This window comes from Homo sapiens, chromosome 10, assembly GCF_000001405.40.
Source record: "Homo sapiens chromosome 10, GRCh38.p14 Primary Assembly".
Classification (NCBI taxonomy): Eukaryota; Metazoa; Chordata; class Mammalia; order Primates; family Hominidae; genus Homo; species Homo sapiens.
The window spans coordinates 123,457,429-123,477,598 of NC_000010.11; the positions used below are offsets into that span (position 1 = coordinate 123,457,429).

The 20,170-nt window shown below is 48.1% G+C and overlaps 1 long non-coding RNA gene across 5 annotated transcripts in view, besides 4 other annotated features; it reads left to right on the top strand.

Moving 5' to 3' along the window:
* LINC02641 (long intergenic non-protein coding RNA 2641) overlaps positions 1-20,170 on the top strand; it is a 214,291-nt gene that overhangs the window by 109,506 nt on the left and 84,615 nt on the right. The window lies entirely within an intron of this gene.
* Positions 1,218-1,913: an enhancer, noted in NCBI's record as "OCT4-NANOG-H3K27ac hESC enhancer chr10:125218162-125218857 (GRCh37/hg19 assembly coordinates)". NCBI's record gives its function as "activates a minimal SCP1, AML or CMV promoter by ChIP-STARR-seq in primed H9 embryonic stem cells {active_cell/tissue: H9 hESC(primed)}" and the evidence as "EXISTENCE:reporter gene assay evidence [ECO:0000049][PMID:30033119]".
* Positions 1,781-1,840: a silencer, noted in NCBI's record as "silent region_2905". NCBI's record gives its function as "represses an Ori minimal core promoter by ATAC-STARR-seq in GM12878 lymphoblastoid cells {active_cell/tissue: GM12878}" and the evidence as "EXISTENCE:reporter gene assay evidence [ECO:0000049][PMID:35858748]".
* Positions 1,914-2,608: an enhancer, noted in NCBI's record as "OCT4-NANOG-H3K27ac-H3K4me1 hESC enhancer chr10:125218858-125219552 (GRCh37/hg19 assembly coordinates)". NCBI's record gives its function as "activates a minimal SCP1, AML or CMV promoter by ChIP-STARR-seq in naive H9 embryonic stem cells {active_cell/tissue: H9 hESC(naive)}" and the evidence as "EXISTENCE:reporter gene assay evidence [ECO:0000049][PMID:30033119]".
* Positions 2,609-3,304: an enhancer, noted in NCBI's record as "NANOG-H3K27ac-H3K4me1 hESC enhancer chr10:125219553-125220248 (GRCh37/hg19 assembly coordinates)". NCBI's record gives its function as "activates a minimal SCP1, AML or CMV promoter by ChIP-STARR-seq in naive H9 embryonic stem cells {active_cell/tissue: H9 hESC(naive)}" and the evidence as "EXISTENCE:reporter gene assay evidence [ECO:0000049][PMID:30033119]".

Genomic DNA, 20,170 nt, shown 5'->3' on the forward strand with positions numbered 1-20,170 from the left:
CCAGAGTCTTAGTGAGGAGACTCTCCATCAGCAGAGGGTGGATCCTCCAAAAGACATGCTGCAGGGCGCCATGACAAATCCCCTCCCAGATGAACTCAGCTCCCTTGGAGTCCGCTTCTTTATTGGAGCTGCTCAGTTAGGACCAACCTCCCTCCAGGGAACATCTCAGAAGACAGATGCCATCAAAAGATGTGGCCAAGCAGGACAACACTGAAAGGAGAACATGAAAGTTTGCTAGTTTACTTATTAGTACAATATGTAATTGGATAGAAGGCACAGCTTTTAAAAATTTGTCTTACCATAATGACTATAATTTTTTAGAGATTGAAAATGAATCTGACTAGAAAATACCATTAAACTACCAAGTTGCTTAAAATTTAAAGGGTAATTCACATATAATGCTTTTATTTAATAGCCCAATTTACAAAACGTCTAAAATTAATGCAGATCTTTTCAGGACAAAATCAGCCGTAACTGCACCAACTAATTTTTGCTCATTTGAACTGAATTATTAATAAGAGAGAAATATACCATATGTTCCCCAAAGAGCTGGATACATTTATTTCAAATAAAAGCACTGTGTTTGGTGGAGTATAAGAGGTTTAAATGCTTTCAGAGAAATGGGTTACTTATATACAGATTTAATAGAGTATAAATCAAGCTGCGTAATTAAGGACACAGCTGCTTCCAAACCCAAGGCCGGCAGCTTTTGCTTCTCAAGTTCCTTTATCACCTGCATGGCTTTCATGAGCAATCATTTGTGCTCATGGAATAATACCAGTTCACCAATGACCTAGTGGTTTATGCCATACCGAAAAGGAATTTTATCGCAGGTTTAGGTCATAGCCATTGACTTCATCTATTTCTTCTCTAAAAAATATTTCTTGAGGACCTACTGTGTGTCAAGCAGTGAGCTTGTCTCTGAACAAAATGGCTCTGGATCTTTTCCTCATTCCTTTTCTCTCTCCCTCTTTCCCTTCCTCCCCATCTCTCCTCCCTTCCTTCCTTCTTTCCCTCCTCTCTCTGCCTCCCTTCCTCCCTCTTTCCCTTCTTCTTTCCCTCTCTACCTCACCCTTCCTCTCTCCCTTCTTTTTCTCTTTCCTTTTCCTCCTTTCTTCCTTTCTTTCCCCCCTCTCTTTTCTTCCTTTCTTCCCTCCAATTATCCCTCATACTGCAAACTCGGGACTTGGGAGTTTAAGTTCAATATGTGACTGACCCTTGGCCCACATCGTGGGCATGGGTCGATGTTGCTGAGTGTGATGCAAGATAGAAGACCCTGGTCTCTTCCTCCTCTTGCTTTGGGAGACTGACTGCTTCCAGAATTACAGCATCTCACAGCAGACTGTCAGGGAGGAGCCTGCATCTCGTAAATAAAGAGAGGGGCTCAAGATGGGCCTTCTGACCCTTCAAATGCCCCATTTTACAGCACATGCTAACATTTTTCTTTGTATTGGTTTGTAGCTCTTGAGTTGAATTCATGAGACTGCAACATCTCTTGGAATACCTCACTGCATCCAGAGGTTGTCAGCACATGGACAGCTCTGGGGTCTCTGCTTGGTGCCAGCTGGTTCCCAGGGGTTCTGCATGGAGATTTCTGTGCCCCTCGTGCCTTGATGGCATGGGCTGGCTAGCAGGCCTCTGCACCAGGGCTACACCCACTGTACATCCGTTTGTTCTGTTCTTGGTTTCATTTCTGCTTTTACCCCCTGGCTTCCCTGGAAACCACATGTGGGCAGGCACGTATCTGCTGGATTAACAGTACTATTCCAGTGCCTGTCACAGTGGCCAGCCCCATAGAGGTGCTCAAACCCTGAGAGCAGAGTGCACACATGAATATAAGTGAGTGAATGGTTTCTGAAAGGCTGACGTTCGAGGCATTTGCTGGATTTCTGGCCTGGCATGCCTTGCTGACTTTGGTGATAATGTTATGGCAAGCAGGGTGTAATTCAGGAGATGGTGCTTGTTTCCTGGCAGTCCTGTGGGCAGACAGACTCTGGGAACTGTGGGCCCAGAAAGTCAGGTGTGTGTGTTTCAACAGCAGGAGCAGCCCGTCTGAAAGCCCAAGCACTTGCGTGTTAAATTGCATCTCAGAGGGAGGTTTTTGTTTTAATGGAAGCAGTTATCCAACTAGCAGGCTTCAAATGGAAATAACAGCTCTCTCTACATAATGAGTGAGGGGCACTTTAATTAATAGCACCTCTTGGATTTTAATGACAGTGGCTTTGGTTTCTGGCCATCTGATGACTACTGAAGCTATTGTTTTGGGGATGCAGGGACATGCAAACCTGCTGGAGTCCGCGTGGATACAATGGGCATCTCAGAGGTGTTATAATTTGAGAGTTTTCTAAGCCTCATGCCTGTACCTCATTTATGTTTCAGGGCAAGCGCTCTACCCTGCAGTGAGGGATGAAACCTCTCCATTCTCTTCTATTATGGTGCAAACTTGGGGTAGAATTTCCAGCTGCCTAGAGAGCAGCAGCAGAGCTTCCCATCTGTACACAGATGCTGCCTTGTCACCGTGGCTGTGCCCTGTGGAAGACTGGCCTGTGTTTGCCCTGCTGAGCTCTGAGGGGTGCTGTTCCGTAGCCTCACAGCCCCTGTAGGTGCAGTGCTGGGCTGGCTTCCTGTGGCCTGGCTCTGATGTGCCCAGTAAGCCATTTCTCTTGATGCAGGACTATTCCTGTGGCAGTGAAGGTGGCAGGTGGGAACGGGGCTGCCACTAGGATGATGCCACTCACACAGTTTTGTGTTGAAGGCTGAGGGTAGGAAGGGAGGGAGAACGTGAAGGGCCCACTGTCTGGGGGAGCCAGGCATGTGAGAACTTGGGAACATTAGTGGGCCATGTGCACTGCAGGCAGGGAGGGTGCAAAGGGCAGAGGGAGCCCCCGAGGGGCAGCCCTCCAGCGTGGGAGGTGAGCAAGCCAAGGAGAGGCAGGCCAGAGTGGGGCGCAGTTTATGGGCCCTAGTCCCCACTCCCAGTCCAGTTGATTGCGTTTCCCTGTGCTGTGCCCAGCTCTGGATGGAACTAGAGGCCTAGTCTGGGTTCTCCTCAAGGCATTGGTGCCAGCAGCGTCATTCAGTCTCAAAGAGGGCCGAAGAGGCATGGCCAGGAGAAGCCCCCATCCTCCCAGCAGGCTCCTCCGTGCAGCCCCTGCTCTTCCACCACCACAAGACAGCCCAGGAGCCACCATGCCTTCACCCCAGGGGCTCCTCGGGAGGAACTAAAAACCTTCCCAGGCCTGGGCTCTCCCCGCTCCCACTGCCAAGCCACCTGCCTTATGGAATATGGTGGGGGAAAGGAGTGCTGTTTCCGTTACAGGAGGCGTGGGGGTGCCAGACCTCAGCATCCTTCCTCCTAGCTGGGCCGAGGCCTCTGCTTTGGGCTTGGATTTGGATCCTGTTGAGACCTTGTGAACCTAACTGGTTACTCACCCCCCATATGCCTGTCAAACCCTTATGCAGCAGGGTAAATCCCAGGAGCCAGCCTGGTGGTGCTTGGTCCTCCTGGCCTAGCTCGCCTGCCCTAACCCTTCCCTCCCCACCCACTCTGACCTCTCAGTCCCTGGTCAGGTTTCTCTTTCTTCTTCTCTGCTGCCTCCTCCATTCCCCTGGGATCCTGGTTCCTTCAGATCTCAGCTCCTTGCTTCCTCAGGAAGCCCCCGACTCTATGCCAGGGAATATCTCCCTATTATCAGGACTGGGTACCTCCCCTTCTCAGACAATGTCCTTATTTCTTTCTTTCTTTTCTTTTCTTTCTTTTCTTTTTTTGAGATAGAGTCTTGCTCTGTTGCCTAGGCTGGAGTGCAGTAGAGCAATCTCAGCTCACTGCAACCTCCGCCTCCCAGGTTCAAGCAATTCTCTTGCCTCAGCCTCCTGAGTAGCTGGGATTACAGGCACGTGCCACCACACCTGGCTAATTTTTTTTTTTTTTTTTGTATTTTTAGTAGAGATGGGGTTTCATCATGTTGGTCAGGCTGGTCTCAAACTCCTGACCTCGTGATCTGCCTGCCTTGGACTCCCAAAGTGCTGGGATTAAAGGCATGATCTGAGCCCGGCCCTTATTTCTCTGTTGGGTTTTTCCTCTAGGAGAGTAGGCACTGGACACTTCCTCAGATGTACACGTTGGTTTCTGGGAGCCGTGTTGAACCTGCTGGCCTTTTCCATTCCCTGGACTCTACCGCTGGGAAGCTGATCAGGGCTGTGCTACTTCCTTGCCATCTTCCCCTCCCACTGGACTGACCGGAAGTCCCACTGTATCGTCCAGATCAGCTGTGAACAAGCTGTTGAATGAGCAGATAAAGGAGGAGTATGTGCATAGGTCGTGTATAGGCCGGGGGTTGAAATGCTCCCATCAGCATGAGGGTCTCCTTCCTGTGCCACCTGGGCTGCCTGGAGGACCAGCCTTGATAGCGCTGTGTTTCCTATCTCCTGCCCTCAAGATGCAAATTTGACTGACTTCAGCTGGGACAAGCGGGGAGGAGGTGTGTAATGAGCCACTCTCAGGTACTCAACCTCTGGACAGATCCGTGTGTTTAATTAATTATAATCTAACTACCTGAAGTAGAAGAGGAAGCAGTGGGCTCCACATGGGCCAGGTCCTTTAACACATGAACTTTGATCCCAGCCCCCGAGGTCAGCCATCAGCTCCTCATCCTGCAGCCTGCCCAATGCTTCATTACCCAATTAACCCGTCATTTTAGAGCCAGGTGGTTTAAGGGACTGTGTAAGAAGAACCTGGGACTCCAGGGCCGCAGCCTTTGGTTATGGTCCTGTTGTGGTTCTAATGCACTAATTAAATATCTGTCTCTTCTAAAAGTCTGCGTGATTTATTGGAAAATTGGTAGAAACAGCCCTTGGGGGGCTGTGCTCAAAATCTGGTTTAAAAGGGTGGCTACTGGCTGTGACTCTTTGATTTCCTCTATCCTATTGAATGTCATTAGCCCCCTTTCATGTAAAATAAATGTTTGACTCCAGCTCATGGAGGGCTTATTTATTCATTTCGTTCCCTTCACTGCACACTGTCATTATTTCTCTGTTGATTCTCTTCTCTGGGAGAATAGAAACGAAACCCTTCCCTTCGAGGCACATATTTTGGATTCAGATAATGTGAAGGCTCCGTGAGCTTGTCCCCTCTGCCCCCCCTTACTCAGACGCTGCAGGTTGTGAATTTCAGTCCTGGTAAATCATGTGTGACTCTACGATGGAAAGGACTCGGTGTTATTTTATTTGTGATTTGTTGTTACTTATTTATTGGGAAGTGGCCTTTCTCCAAAAGGAGCACAATATGGAGAAAAACAGAAAAGGGGGATGGGATTCATCCTCTCAGTTGACGTGAAGAAAGCCACTGTCACCATTTTCAAATAATGACTGGGCACATGGCCCTCATAAATCATATGCTTATTAAAACATGCTGCTCTAAATCCGGGAGATGTGAGGGCCTGGCCTGGGACTTCTCCTTGGCCACCTGACCTTCCTCTGACCTTTAATTGTTGAGTAGAAGGTACCCAGGAAGCCCATTCATTTAACAGTCTACTGTGGGCATAAGAAAAGTGACTCATTTAAGATACAACCTAAGAGAGCTCACAAGAGGATGACTAAGATGGAAGGGATTGCGTTGTAGGCAGTGAGGTCCCTGACACTGGTAGTAATCAAGCTGATTTCACTGGGAGCAAATAGGATGTACTGGGATTCAAGTTATAGAAGGAAATTTGGATCCGCTGAAAGAAAGGTTTCACCTACTTCTGTACATCTAAGAGCCTAAGGCCCAAATAATTCACATTTACAAAGTGCAAACTTTTGTTTTCCCAAAGAGCTGAAAAGCCAGATGGGTTGGGAGACAATTTCCCGAGCCCAGGCTGCAAGCTCCTGACTCATGAGTGCTTTGCCTTTGCAGAATTTACTCAACCCACAGCTGTGCGGCCTCTATAGCCTGCAAGCTTTCACACCGAGCCTCTCTCCCTGCCTTCTTTCCTTCCTTCTTTTATTTCCTCATCCCAACCCCTGCAACTCTTGTTTTAGAGTTAAGAAAACTGAGGCTTAGAGAGGTTAAGCAACAAGCCCAAGGTCATGACACTAGTAGGTAGCAGAGCAGGAGTGGGATTCTGAAACCCTTGCTCTTCTGGTTATTCCATGTCCAATCTACAGCACAGTACTTTGTACACAGGAGGTGCTTTGTAAAAGCCCAGCAGATTAGTGAACCAGTGCACGTGACCCGGAGAGGAACACATGGGGGATCATTTTGCCTGGCTCACGCTCCCTAATATCTTCATTTCCATCCCCGACAACCAGACACCCAGCTCTTCCAGCACAGGGTCCGCAAGGCAGCCGGATCTCAGAGGCGCCTGCATTTGTTGGCTCAGTTAGAATAGAATGTGAAGCCAGCAGTGTTGGACTTAAGATCCTGCCCTCTGGAGGCAGGCAGATGGCCTGGGTTTATGTCCCAGTCACCTCATCACATCATGCCTCAGCTTCCTCGTCTATGAAATGGGCTAATACTAGTTCCTGCAGCACCAGGCTCTTGTGAGGCTTGGATAAGTTACTGCGTTCAGAGTGTGTGGAATGTGCTCGGCGCATAGAAAGCTCTGTGTGTGTGTGAACTGTTGCTATGAGCACTCGCTGCCGACTTGCCTCCCTGGAGCACTGAAGTGGATTTCCTGGAAAAAGAAGCTGCTGTGTCTGGTGACAATCCTTTTCAAGAGTAGTCCACTGGCCCAGGCTTATGAAACCGTTGGGGGTCAAGGAAGTCCTACTTCAGGATTAGGAGCCACAATAACTGTGGTGTTAGACCGAAGTGTAAATTACCAGTAAGTCACCTCTGGGTGAAGATTGGAAGGGTTCATTTAGGGCTAAAATACAGTGACCTCTCCAGCCTGGATTCCATCCACAGCCTTCAACTTGGCCTCCCCTCCCTCTCCTACCCTTCTTTAGATCTTCCCTACTCAGAAGACACAGTGGTCATTGGGGTTTTCATATCCAAGCAGCTCTCTCTCTTGCTTTTAAACCTTCAGTGGCTCCCTATTGCCCCCAAGGATAAAGCCCAAATCCTGCCCATAGCTTTTTCAGCCCTGTGTGATTTGGCCTGGCCTGTCTTTCCAACCTCATATCTGACTACTCTCTTCCTTGCTTTAACCCACTTTGGCCACACTGAGCCTCCTTCACTTCCTCACCGTTGGTCTTTTCTGCCAAGGGCCTTTATACAGGCTACCTCCTAGTCCCAGAGCAACCCTTTGCCCCACTCTTATAGCTGGTTCTTCCTCATTTTTTACTTCTAAGCCTAAAAACGACTTCCTCAATGACTATTCCTGACTACCTGATAACAACAGGCTCTCCCACTCTCTCCTTTCTCTATTTCTGCCCATTGTTTGATTTATCCTTAGTACATATCAAATTTAGGGGCTGCTGTCTCCCCTTAAAAGGTGAACTCCTCAAGTGCAAGGCATCTTTGCCTTACTCACCAGGCTACTTCCAGGGCTTAACCCATAGCACATGGTATGCAAGCAGAAGCTTCTGTCAAATGCACTTCAGCACATGGATTTTTGGACACCTAATTTCATCTCTTGGTTGTTTTCTAAATTTTTCTGATCATTAAAGTTGTTGAGTAAATATTGTCTGGATAAGCAAGGCATCGCTAGAATAATGAAAATATGTTGGCTATAGTATTGTCATATGAGTGGGAGTAACTGGTATGGCAGATACCATGTCCCCTGGGGCATAAATTCTCACAGTTTTCTGCAGCAGCAAAGGACACTGTCTCTCTGCTTCTAGGCCTGAGAGCTTTCTCTGGCACAAGAAAGCTCTCAGCTTATATTTGGGGGTATGTTCAGTTCACATTCAGGCAGCCTAGAAGTGCCAGAGATTGAACAGCCCTAGACATGATCTTCAAGCAACAAGGGCTGGAATCCGATTAAGTAAACACCCCAGCCTGCCTGTCTCTTGGTAGGATAATCCCGGGGTGCATTGCAAACACTTCCTCTGAGTGTTCCAGCTGGACTGAGCCCCAGTTGCCCATGGCAGTAACCTGCTCATTAACACCCCTGACTGTTTTTTTCCCCTTCTTGTCATCATTTGCCCAACGATCAAGCGCCTGCTTCCTGAGATCCTCTTCCAAATAATCGATCTGCAGCCCAACCATTGTCTCAGGGCCTGCCTTCGGGGAATACAAACTAAGATATGGTGACAAAACCATGGAAATACTGTCAAAGCAGCATTTTTACTTTGCAGGTGGTATCTGCTATCGCTTGAGAGTTTGTGTTCTCCCAAAATTGCTATGTTGAAACCTATCTCCAATGCAATGGTATTGAGAGGTGGATCCTTTAGGAGGTGATCAGGTTATGAGGGCAGAAGCTTCATCAGTGGGATCAGTGCCCTTATAAAGAGGCGCAAGGAGGCTTGTCCATCCCTTGCACCATGTGAAGACAGGTAGAAGGTTCCATCTATGAGGAACAGGCCCTCGACCGACAACAAGTCTGCTGGGACCTTCATCTTCCAACTTCCATCTATGAGGAACAGGCCCTCGACTGACACCGAGTCTGCTGGGACCTTCATCTTCCAACTTCCCAGCATCCAGAACTATGGGCAACAACTTTGTTTATAAATTACCCAGTCTAAGGTATTTTGTTATAGCAGCCCAAATGGACTAAGACATTTTGTATTTTTCAAAGCACTTTCAGATACATTAACTTAAGCATCACAGATAACTTAAGTTTTACATTATCATATTAAGATACATTCTTATGTTTTATGTTACTACGATGAGGACTAAGCAGGGCAGATATTATTATTTTCCTCTGACAGATGAGGAAAGCCAGGAACAGAGAGGGCAAAGCTTTTAACTTAAGTCACACAGCAAGACAGCGGGGCAGACTAGGCCTGGTGTCCTTGCCACTGCACTTGTTGCCTTAACTTTTGGTCATTCCAAACCCTGCCTGGTCTGTTCTTTTCAAATAAGAGAGCAAAATGGCTGGGAATTTGCTATTGTCACCCATTAGGTATTTTTCTCTTGAATGCCAGGCTTTGAATTGACTTGCTTCTTGTCCATCACACCCCGACCCCCAATTTCCAAAAGGAGAGGTATGTTAGTAGGAGATTATAACTCACCTTAATTGAGGGCCAGGTACTATAGTCATTGCTTTATGTCTTATGGACTTAACATCAGTCCTATTAGGTAGGTGGTAAAAATCCCTATTTTGTAGAAAAGGCTGCATCGAAAGTCTCTAACAATGCTTGGCATGCAGCGAGTACCTGATGAGTAGTTATCGAATGAATGAGGTTGGAGAGATTAAGTTGCTTTCTCAAGTCACACAACCAATAGGTGGAGTCTAGCTCATTCCCAATCCCAGGAACTTTCCTGCCATGGTGTAACCCCCACCAGCCCTTTCTTGGGATCTGTCTTCTTTGTCATCAATGCTGGATACGGGTGTAGAGTGGTGTTCACTTGGTGTCCAAGGACTAAAGGAAATCTCACGCCTCCCCAGTGAGCCCTAAGTCTCTGAGTGATCGGCTTGTCTGCGGCTGCTCCCAAGTGTCACCAGCCATCCATCCACAGGGTCTCATCCCAGCCTCACTGGGTGGACACAGGCAGGTGGACACTTCACTCCACGTGTCATCCCCATGTGGGTGCTGCCCCCATGAGCCACCATCCTGACCACCCAGACAGTGACCTGCAAAAAAAGAAACACACACACAGCTGCTTAGAATCATGATGGTCCAGCAGGCCCCAATCTCCTTTTTAAAGCATGGCAATTGACAGCTTGCTACCTACACCTGCACTGCCAAGAAGCAGCGAGACCTGCTGTCAGGCCAGAGGAATTCACTGGACAGAGAGTCACCCCAGGACCCAGGAAGGCATCTCCAAGAAGAGCCTGGTGAAGCTGACCCTGACATTCTGCATCCTTAAGTCAGTGAAGGCACAGGCAGCTGTGACCCCCAGAGCCCACACATGTATCTGCAACTGAGGCTGTTACGACTGTTAAAGGTGGGGCATTTCCTTCAACTCAAAAAAAAAAAAAAAAAGTACACAAGACCTCAAGGCACAGAATAAAAATTGGCCCAGGCTTTTGACAAGCAGCTAAGGAGAAGGGGAGGACAGTGAGGGGAGGTTGTCCATTGATACCTGTGGCCCACATGAGGTGCTTTGCTAGGGCATCCTCCGTTCAGCTGGTCGGCCTCAGCTCTCTTGAGTATGACATGTCACAAGCGCCGGAGATGCACAGACAAGCAAGCCCTGGTCCCTGCATGTATGGAGCTCAGGGTCCCATGTGAAAGACAAATGAACAAACAGGCAACCAGACTTGAATGAGAAGGCCAAGGAATTCACTGGACAGGGCCCTCCTAATCCTTCCCAGGCCCGGTGGGGAGGGGGGTGTCCTGGGAGATGAGACATGAAAGATAGGATTCTGTTGGGAGAGCAGAAGTTAGCTAGCCAAAGAAGGGGGATCTCAAGTTAACAGGGGCTACATTCCAGCTTGACAGGGGTGAGGAGTTTTAATTTAACCATCATAACAATCTTTAGGTAACAAGGTCTATTACCACCCCCCACTTTTTTTTTTAATTATACTTTAATTTCTGGGGTAGTGCAGAATGTGCAGGTTTGTTACATAGATGTACACGTGCCATGGTGGTTTGCTGCACCCATCAACCCGTCACCTACATTAGGTATTTCTCCTAATGCTATCCCTCCCCTAGCCCCTCAACCCCCAGACAGACCCTGGTGTGTGATGTTCCCCTGCCTGTGTCCATGTATTCTCATTGTTCAACTCCCACTTATGAGTGAGAACATGTGGCATTTGGTTTTCTGTTCCTGTGTTAGTTTGCTGAGAATGATGGTTTCCAGCTTCATCCATGTTCCTGTAAAGGACATGAACTCATTCTTTATGGCTGCATAGTATTCCGTGGTGTACATGTGCCACATTTTCTTTATCCAGTATATCACTGATGGACATTTGGGTTGGTTCCAAGTCTTTGCTATTGTGAATAGTGCCACAATAAACATACGTGTGCATGTGTCCTTATAGTAGAATGATTTATAATCCTTTGGGTATATACCCAGTAATGGGATTGCTGGGTCAAATGGTATTTTTTTTTTTTTAAGATGGAGTCTTGCTCTGTTGCCCAGGCTAGAGTGCAGTGGCGCGATCTCCACTCACTGCAAGCTCCGCCTCCCGGGTTCACGCCATTCTCCTGCCTCAGCCTCCCGAGTAGGTGGGACTACAGGCGCCCGCCACCATGCCGGGCTATTTTTTTGTATTTTTAGTAGAGACAGGGTTTCACCCTGTTAGCCAGGATGGTCTCTATCTCCTGACCTCATGATCCACCCGCCTTGGCCTCCCAAAGTGCTGGGATTACAGGCGTGAGCCACTGCACCCGGCCCACAAATGGTATTTCTAGTTCCAGATCCTTGAGGAATTGCCACACTGCCTTCCACAATGGTTGAACTAATTTACACTCCCACCAACAGCATTCCTATTTCTCCACATCCTCTCCAGCATGTGTTGTTTCCTGACTTTTTAATGATCGCCATTCTAACTAGGGTGAGATGGCATCTCATTGTACCACCCCCTACTTTGAAACAAAGTATGGAAAGACTCCATAACTTACCAGCTGGCAATACCAAGCCGGCAATACCAAGCTGGGAAGTAAGGAACCCAACAATGAAAACCCGGTTCATGAGTTCAAAGCCTGTGTCTTCTCTATTCCTTCGTCCTTCATATGCTTCTCTCTCTAAAGGGTTGTGGAATTTGGCACAGAGGTAGAATCATCTTCATCTTGTTAGTAGGAATCATATCTTCTTCCATGTGGAAATCCCAGGAGCTGATTGAGGTTGAAGGACTAGTGTGAAATACACACCCCAGAGTCCTTCTTCAGGCACCCCCTGCTCCCAATTGCTCTGAGGGGAAGTTCATGGAAACCTATATCACCCTGGGTTTGAATCTTCTTGATTTTGATACTATGGACATGGCACATGTGGAGAACTCCTAGTATCACTGGAGACTATGGGAGAGATGGAGAGGAAAACAATGGTCAACTTGGACTTGACCCTGAGGGTAGCAAAGTCTTTGCAGTTATCAAACAAGGGAATGCCTCCCACTTGCCAAGACTGTGTCTCAAACACTGCCTTTGAATTGTATCTTTCTTTCAAAATAGTCCATATTTGCTGTTAGAGAATTATATTTTATATCCACTGTCTTGAAAAGAATGAATTAGGCCGGGCACAGTGGCTCACGCCTGTAATCCCAGCACTTTGGGAGGCCAAGGCAGGTGGATCATGAGGTCAGGAGATTGAGACCATCCTGGCCAATATGGTGAAACCCCGTCTCTACTAAAAATACAAAACAAATTAGCCAGGCGTGGTGGCACACACCTGTAGTCCCAGCTACTCAGAGGGCTGAGGCAGGAGAATTGCTTGAACCCAGGAGGCGGAGGCTGCAGTGAGCCAAGATCATGCCACTGCACTCCAGCCTGGGTGACAGAGTGAGACCGTCTCAAAAAAAAAAAAAAAAAAAAAAAAAGAATGGGTTAGAAGAGAAAAGGACTAGAGGCAGGAAAACCAGCTAGGAGGGTTTGTAGTAACATAGCGAAAGATGACATCCGGGACCAGGGAAGTGGCCATGGGGTGGGGCATAAGGGTTTGGGCGTGGGAAATATGGAGGGGTCAGACACAAGTGGGCTTGCTGACCAAGTGAAAATGCAGTAAGTGAAGGAAGGAGAGGTTAGGTCTGACCCCCAGGTTTTGGGTTTGGGTGGTTGGGTGGATGGCAAGGCCATTTACTGAGGAGCAAATTGAGCAAGGGAGAGAGGTATACAATGAGGAGTTGAATTTTGGACAGCCTTGTTTGAGGCATCAGTGAATAATCAGAAGAGATGTCCAGTGGGCAGTTAGGTACCAAGATCTGGAGCTCAGGACAGAGTTAGGTCCATGGAGAGCAGTCGAAGCCATGCCATTGCTGCTTGGAAAAAAAAAAAAAAGAGCGAGCTACAAGCTAGGCTGACAGCCTCTTGGATGGCATCAGACAGGCAGGTTGGTAGCACTGAGTTCAGCCACTGTCTACTCTCAGTGCTGATGTCTTTTGTGCCAGGTCCAGGGAAAGAAAGTGGTGGCCTGGAGCCCACTCTCTGCCATCCTGCACCTTGGCCGAATGCCAGGCATCGAGAATGGTACCCTAGCCCCCTTTGGATTTCCTGGGTTTTGTTGGGCCTGAGTCATCACCTTAATGTTATTTAAATCTAGGGTTTTGAATTGAATGTTATTAAATGCCTCCTCAACCACATGATACTTGTGATGGGCCATAGTGAATGGGGGATTAGGCAGATAAATTACCATTGTGATTCTAAAACTATCATCAGGTTTGCTAAGGACAATAATTACGTAGCTTACAGTGTTTGGAAATATTGCCTAAATCTCCTCCCCACGTGTTGTTTGTGATGGAAAACAATTAGACAAAAGGTCCTTTTGGTAAAGCTGCCTGGGATTCAGATCGGCTTGATGAATGGGCTTTCTCCCAGACCCCGAGCATTTGTTAGAAGTAAATTATATGTTATTTCAAATCCAAAAGGTCTGCCTCCCCATGTTTATTGGGATAAATTAAATCTTCTAAGGAGGGTAAACAGAAGGCCCTGATAATTATTTGCTTCTGTATAATTTAAGCTGAAAAGGATATCACCAAGAGGAGGATGGGGGATAGAAACACCCTGCATTGTGCCCACCACAGAGAACGCACAATAGGGAAATTTAATTTGATACTGATCTACACGCATCATATCAAGTTGGGACGGGCAGCCATCTCTAGAGCTGTTTTCAAATGGGGCTTTTCAGTTGCAAATTTCAACTGAAATCATCTTGATTTGCTATTTGAGAATTAATTTTTATAATTTCAAGGGGCTTCCTTGCAGAGGGAATGCTGCTTCTCTCACCAAACAGACTTCTGTGCTCATGAGACCAGGATGGGGCCTACCCCAGCCTTGCCTCACCCCAGACCCGAAGCCTGCTTTATCAGCATTGGTAGGAATCCAGTAACTAATCCATCTACTCACATATCCATCCACCCACATCCATCCATCCATCCATCCATCCATCCAACCATCCAACCATCCAACCATCTATCCTCCCTCCCTCCCTCCCACCCTTCCACATATCCACCCATCCACCCACCAACCCATCCATCCATCCATCCATCTTTACCCATCCATCTGCACATCCACTCACCATTCCGCAATACTTATTGAATTTCTCTGTTGAATGCTGGTTCCCCAAATAACATCAACACAAGCTGTTGATAACACAAAGCTGTTTATTGCTCACTGTGGTAAGAAAGAACGCGGCCTCTACAGAGTTTTGGTAACCTCTGGAATAGAAGGCAAGGTTGGAATTTACTGAGAATTGACAGTTTGGTTTGGGGGGATCTTTTAGTGTGGAAGTGTGGGAAGGCTGGATTAGGATTAGCTAAAGATCATTATACAACAGTTCAGGATTGATGGAAAAGTGAGGTGAGTATTTTGGGAGTGAAGGATTTGAAGTGTCTTAGGGTGAAAACTGTCTGTTGATAATTCCCATTGAAGAGTTGACGCAATTTGGGGAAGTTTTTCTAATGAACAATGAAGTCATTTGCCTGGGCAAGAGGCTTCCAGAAAAGACAAGTCATGCTAGTGAAGACAATGGGACTCACAGACCTGTTCATGTAGACAGGTGTAGTTTTGGTTCTCTGTGCCCAGGCTGAATGTGGTGTAGATAGGTATTGTCTACACCTCCATGGTGTCTGGCTCACCACTGTTTCACCACTAAAGCCATGCCAAAGTAGCCATGACCCCACATGTCAGAGATTCTCGTAAGTGGGAGAGGTTAATGAGCACATAACTGCAGAGATAAATGCATAGGAGAGTGTGATATAGCAGGTGGATCTGACCTAATCAATGAGATCAAGAAGGCCTCCCTGAGAGAGAGGTGCTTAAACTGTTATCTCCAGCTGACCTGGAATGAACTAGAGGTGGCATGCAGTGGACTGTGGGGAGGGTGCCCAAGCGGGACCTCAGGGGAATCTGAGTCCAGCCGAGGTGCTGGGTCAGGTGGGAGCAGCTCTACTGGGGTTCCTTCTCCCTGCCCTGTCTTTGCGTCTCTGTCCTGCATCCCAGCCCAACACCCTAAGGAAATCCCCAAGGATCACCAGGAAGCTGCCTGGCAACTTCCCTCTGGCTCAGGGGCAGGGGGCAGATTGTGCCTGCAATGGTGCTGTGCACTAGGCCGAGGGAGAAGCAAGGAGGGGATGGGAAAGAGGGAAGTGACTGCCAGCCCTGGTCTGCATCCCTAGCACCCCAGGCCAGGAACAGCTCCTTGCCTTGATCTCTGCCTGGCGCCTGCCCCAGGATGTCATCTGTGCTGCGAGGGGCCGGGCTGGTGTCCAGGCTCAGGTTTCACGCGCCAAGCCTGTGATAACATCTGGCTCTTGGGGTCCCAGGCCAGTGACCTCTTAGGCTCCCTGGTGCCTGGCAGTCTGCAGGGAAAGTTTCCTCCGATCTTCAGCTGACAGGCATCCTTTGCTGATCTGCAGGGATTCGGGGTTAGCCGAGTTTCCTAGCACCTCCCCAAGGGACTCGCTCTCCTTCACACAATGGTTTTGCAAGGTCCTGCCCCAGGGCTCTGCCGGGCTCAGCTTTGAAAGAAAATGCCATTCAGCATCACCAATCTATGCCCCTTGGCCTGAGCAACCGTGCAAGGACTGACCTACAAAATCCTAAATGTTACTGTTTTGGCTTCTGTGGTCAGCCTTAATCATCACACTGGTGGAGCTGAGAGACATTTTCTAGGGTCCATTAGTAAATGCTGAAAGTGCCTCGTGATGCTTCTCCATGGGCAGGGTGGTTCCGTGGCACAAGCTGATGCAGCCCTTGGCTGGCAGCATTAGCCCCATAGAACAGAAGAGGTGGGCGAGCCTGGTGGTTGTTTCCCAACGACATGCCCCTGGAGATGGGGACTTCATGATGCCCGCCTATCCCCGGCCTGACTGAGAGGCATAGGATTGGAATCACTTGTGCCAGACCTCGGTTCAAATCCAGGCCCTGTCTCTTCGTGTGTCCCTGAGCAAGTTGCATTCCTTCTGGATTCCAGGGAGAAAGCCACGTTGAGAACTGTGGTGTTTCATGGACCTTCTGTAAGTCAGGGCCAGAGAGCTCATTGTCATGCCTAGACCACGTGTGTCAGAAATGCGGCTGAGTCGAGGAAGCAGGTCTCTTGTTTTTAAAGAGTGGCCACGTGCCTCTCTTCCCCACCTTCATCTCCTCCTGGGCCTGCACCTGCCGCCCTCTTTGGGGAGCCTTGCCGGCTGCCTCTCCCCTTGTTTCTGGTCCTCCTCGTGCTCAGTGTCTCTGCGACACTGGGCACAGCCTGCTTTTTGAAGCTCCATTTCCTCTGGGGGAACACTTCCACCCCTTCTGGCCCTCCTTTCGCTGGAACCGCCCTGCCTGTTCCTTCAAAGGCTGCTCCCTCACCCTGACCCTTCAGGGATGCTTCTGGCCTCGCGGGGACCTCCTCTCCCCTTCCCCTTTCCTCTTTCCACACCAGTGGTTCTCAAAGTGTGGCCCCCAGACCAGAAGGCCAGAATCCCCTGGGGTCTTGTTAGAGCTGCAACCTCTCCGGCCCTTCCCCAGCCCACTGGAGCAGAAACTCTGGGAGTGGGTCCAGCACCCTGTGTGGTCCACTGGCCTGGCCTGGCCTGATGATCCTGACAGCCTTCCTAACCTGTGATAAGGGAATGATGCCTGAGTCTCTCTCTCTAGCCTGGACCTTCCCTCCTTGTGCCCAGTGATTTTTATGAAAGTTCAGCACTTTCTCAGGATGATGAACGAGATTCACAGAAAGAGCTAGACGAAGTCTTGGGGACAGGTCTATTGGCACAAGCCTTTCACTTTGATGATGGGAGTCCTAGGCCATGGAAGGGTTAAGTGGCTGTGTCATGCACACAGCGTCTCGTCCAAAGGGGCCTTTCCTTTTCAGCAGGTAGACTCTGTCTTGAAATAATCCACAGGCTAGGGAGGTTGAGGTGTTTATTTCATTGGCATGGACATCAGGAAGACCCAGGCCAAACCCTCCTCTGTTTCTGGAGCCTGCATGGTGTCTGAGCCCTCCCTTCACACTTGGACAGAGTGCTGCTCTCAGAAATCCACCCAGAATGAGGGCCACTCATTGATTTCCATTAGAAAACACAGTGTTAATGAATGAGGATTACTATTCCTCAATATGTTCCCGCACTAATAAGATTCTGATGAGATACTAATTAGTCCCCTCCTTACAAGCCTGTTAAAAATCTCCTGGGCCATCCTGCACTGTGCTCTGTATACCTGGTCTAACAGGCCCCTCAAAAGGCAAAAGCTGCCAGGAGTCAAGGCTTGTCTGGTCCTCCTTGGGAAAGCTGCTTTCCTGACAGGCCTGGGCTGCTGTTGGCATGGCCATGGGATTAGGCATGGGTCAGAGCCGGGGTCAGAGGACAGGGATCAAATGTCGGCACTTGGGACCAGGGCAGGGCCCGTGACACACAAATGATGTTATTTTCCTAAGTGGCTTATCTTCCAGTCCAAGCCTAATTCCAGGTAGGGGAAGCCTTCAAGGGGCAGCAGGGATAGGGGTTTGGAGGCTGGGATCTGGACTGGCGTGGGAGGCTGCCTTCTCCAGGAGCTGCTGTCAACTCCCGCAGAGGAGGCGGCACACACGAGCCACAGGAGTTTGGAGTCTCCAGAAAAAAGGCCGGGGTGCAAGCTCAGTGGCACGTCGCGGAGGTGCTTCCTGTCTTACACATTTTCTCCATCCCTCCTGCACCAAGGAGGGAAGTGCTACTCTTAAAAATTGAGATGAAATTTATATAATATAAAATTGACCATTTTAAAGGGAACGATTGGGTGGTATTTAGTATATCACAGTGTTCTACAGCCACCACCTGTTATCTAGTTCTAAACCATTTGCATCATCCCAAACAAAACCCTGTACCCACTGAAGAGTTTTTTCCATTTCTCCTCCTAGCCTGTCAATGACCATATGCCTTCTGCTTCTATGGATGCACTTGTTCTGGGCATTTCATGGGAACAGAGCTCTACAATGCATGTGCTTTCATGCCTGGCTTCTTAGCATGTTTTCAAGGTTCATCCATGCTGGCTCATGTGTCAGAACTCCATTCCTTTTTATGGCTGAGTCATATTCCATTGTGTGCACAGACCACAGTTTGTTTATCTGCCGAAGGACACTTGGGCTATTTCCACCCTGGGATGTGCTATTTTTATTGGTATTTCACAGATAAGAGAATTCAGGGTTGGACTCTCTCTCAAGTTCACCCAGCCAGCCAGTGGCAGAACTGAGTATTAACTTGGCCTTTGAAGTCTCCACTCTCTCCCCTCCACAGGGATGAACGGCTTATCCTGGGTTAAAAGGGGGAAACATTCTTGTTCTCTGGCACTCCTGTCCTGTGACTCTGTAAGGAAGAGGTTTTTTGGTGTGTGTTTTGAATACCATTGTTGAGGCAGATAATGAGAATCCCCAGAGAAAGTTAATCTGTAATTCAACAGAAATGACCTCACCTTGATGATACTACTTCTTTTAAAAAATCATTCTTATTGAGGTGTAAGTTATATGCAATAAAATTCACCAATTTCAAGTGTATAATTTGAGAAATTTTGACACATGTAGGCAGTTGTACAACCATCTCCATAATCAGATGGAAAGTATTCCCATCACCTCGCAAAGTAATATAGTTTGGATTTGTTCCCTCCAAATCTCATGTTGAAATGTGATCCCCAGTGTTGTAGGTGGGTCTGGTGGGAGGTGGTCAGGTCATGGGGGTGGATCCCTCATGAACGGCTTCGTGATGCCCTTGTGGTAATGAGTGAGTTTTGGCTCTATTAATTCACGTGAGAGCTGGCTATTTAAAAGAGCCTGGCATCTCTCTTGCTCTCTCTCTCTCTCTGTCACCATGGGACACACCTGCTCCCCCTTCGCCTCCCACCATGAATGGAAGCTTCCCAAGGCTCTCACCGGAAGCAGATGCCAGAGCTATGCTTCTTGTAAAGTCTGTAGACCCATGAACCAAATCAACCTCTTTTCTTTATAGATTACCCAGCTTCAGATATTCCTTTATAGCAATGCAGAATGGACTAACACACTCCTTTATAGCCTTCCACTCCAAGCCTGGGCTTCTATTTAGCATAATGCTCTAAAATTCACTCCTGTTATAGCCATCAGTAGTTTACTCCTTTATTGCCAAACAGTATTCACTTATTTGGATACCCCACCATTTATCTTTTCCCCAATCAGTGGACATTTGCATTACTTGCCATTTTTGGCTATTGTGAATAAAGCTTCTCTAAACATTGGTGTGTAGCTTTTGTCTGTACTCGAGAGTGAAATTGCTGGGTCCTATGGTAAGTATGTCATCATATTCCTGCTCAGAGAGGTGGCTTCCTGCAACCAGTTTTCTTTTCAGGATCCAGATGGGTCCCAGGGACCCTAAAATAAGGCCCCTAGTTCTGTCCTTCCTGGGAAGGGAGAATGTTATATACGGTGGAAATAAGGAGATGATCAAAGTATGATTTTTTGAATTTCATAGTGTATTGCCGTACCAAAAAAAATCTCTTCTTAGGGTCACGATGCTTAAAGAATAAAGAGAAGAAAGCTCACAGGGAATCTGCTTGATAGATAAAGTACATTAACCACTTAGTGAGTGGGTTCCAAAATTATTACAGTCTGGTTGCTCAGTTAGGATGGAAGCAGGTCTCTCTGGGGAAGGTAAGGTCTGAGTAAAGGTTGGAGTATACCTTCCTACAAGCAGCTCTCAGAGAAGCTGGCTCAACCATCAGGGCAGAGATCTGGAGGTCCAGCGTAAGGACCCTCCATACTGGGGGACTGTGCTGGAGCTGGTGATTAGTCCCGAGGCTAACAGGGTGTCGCCTAGTTGCACCTGAGCTCTTGGTGTTGGAGAAGCAGCTGTGATGGCAGACATACTGGTTGTCTTTAGAAGCAGCCAACTGTGTAGACTACCACGGCCTAAGCTCTCCAAATGTCCATTAAACTCTTGGTAACAGAATATGTATTCTGAAGTCCAGTAGTTGAGGTCCATAACTCACAAATGGGAATTCTGATAAGGTTTGACATCACATTCCTGAGAGGAGGGAGTTCACTCCAAGTTTTCACACAGAGTGT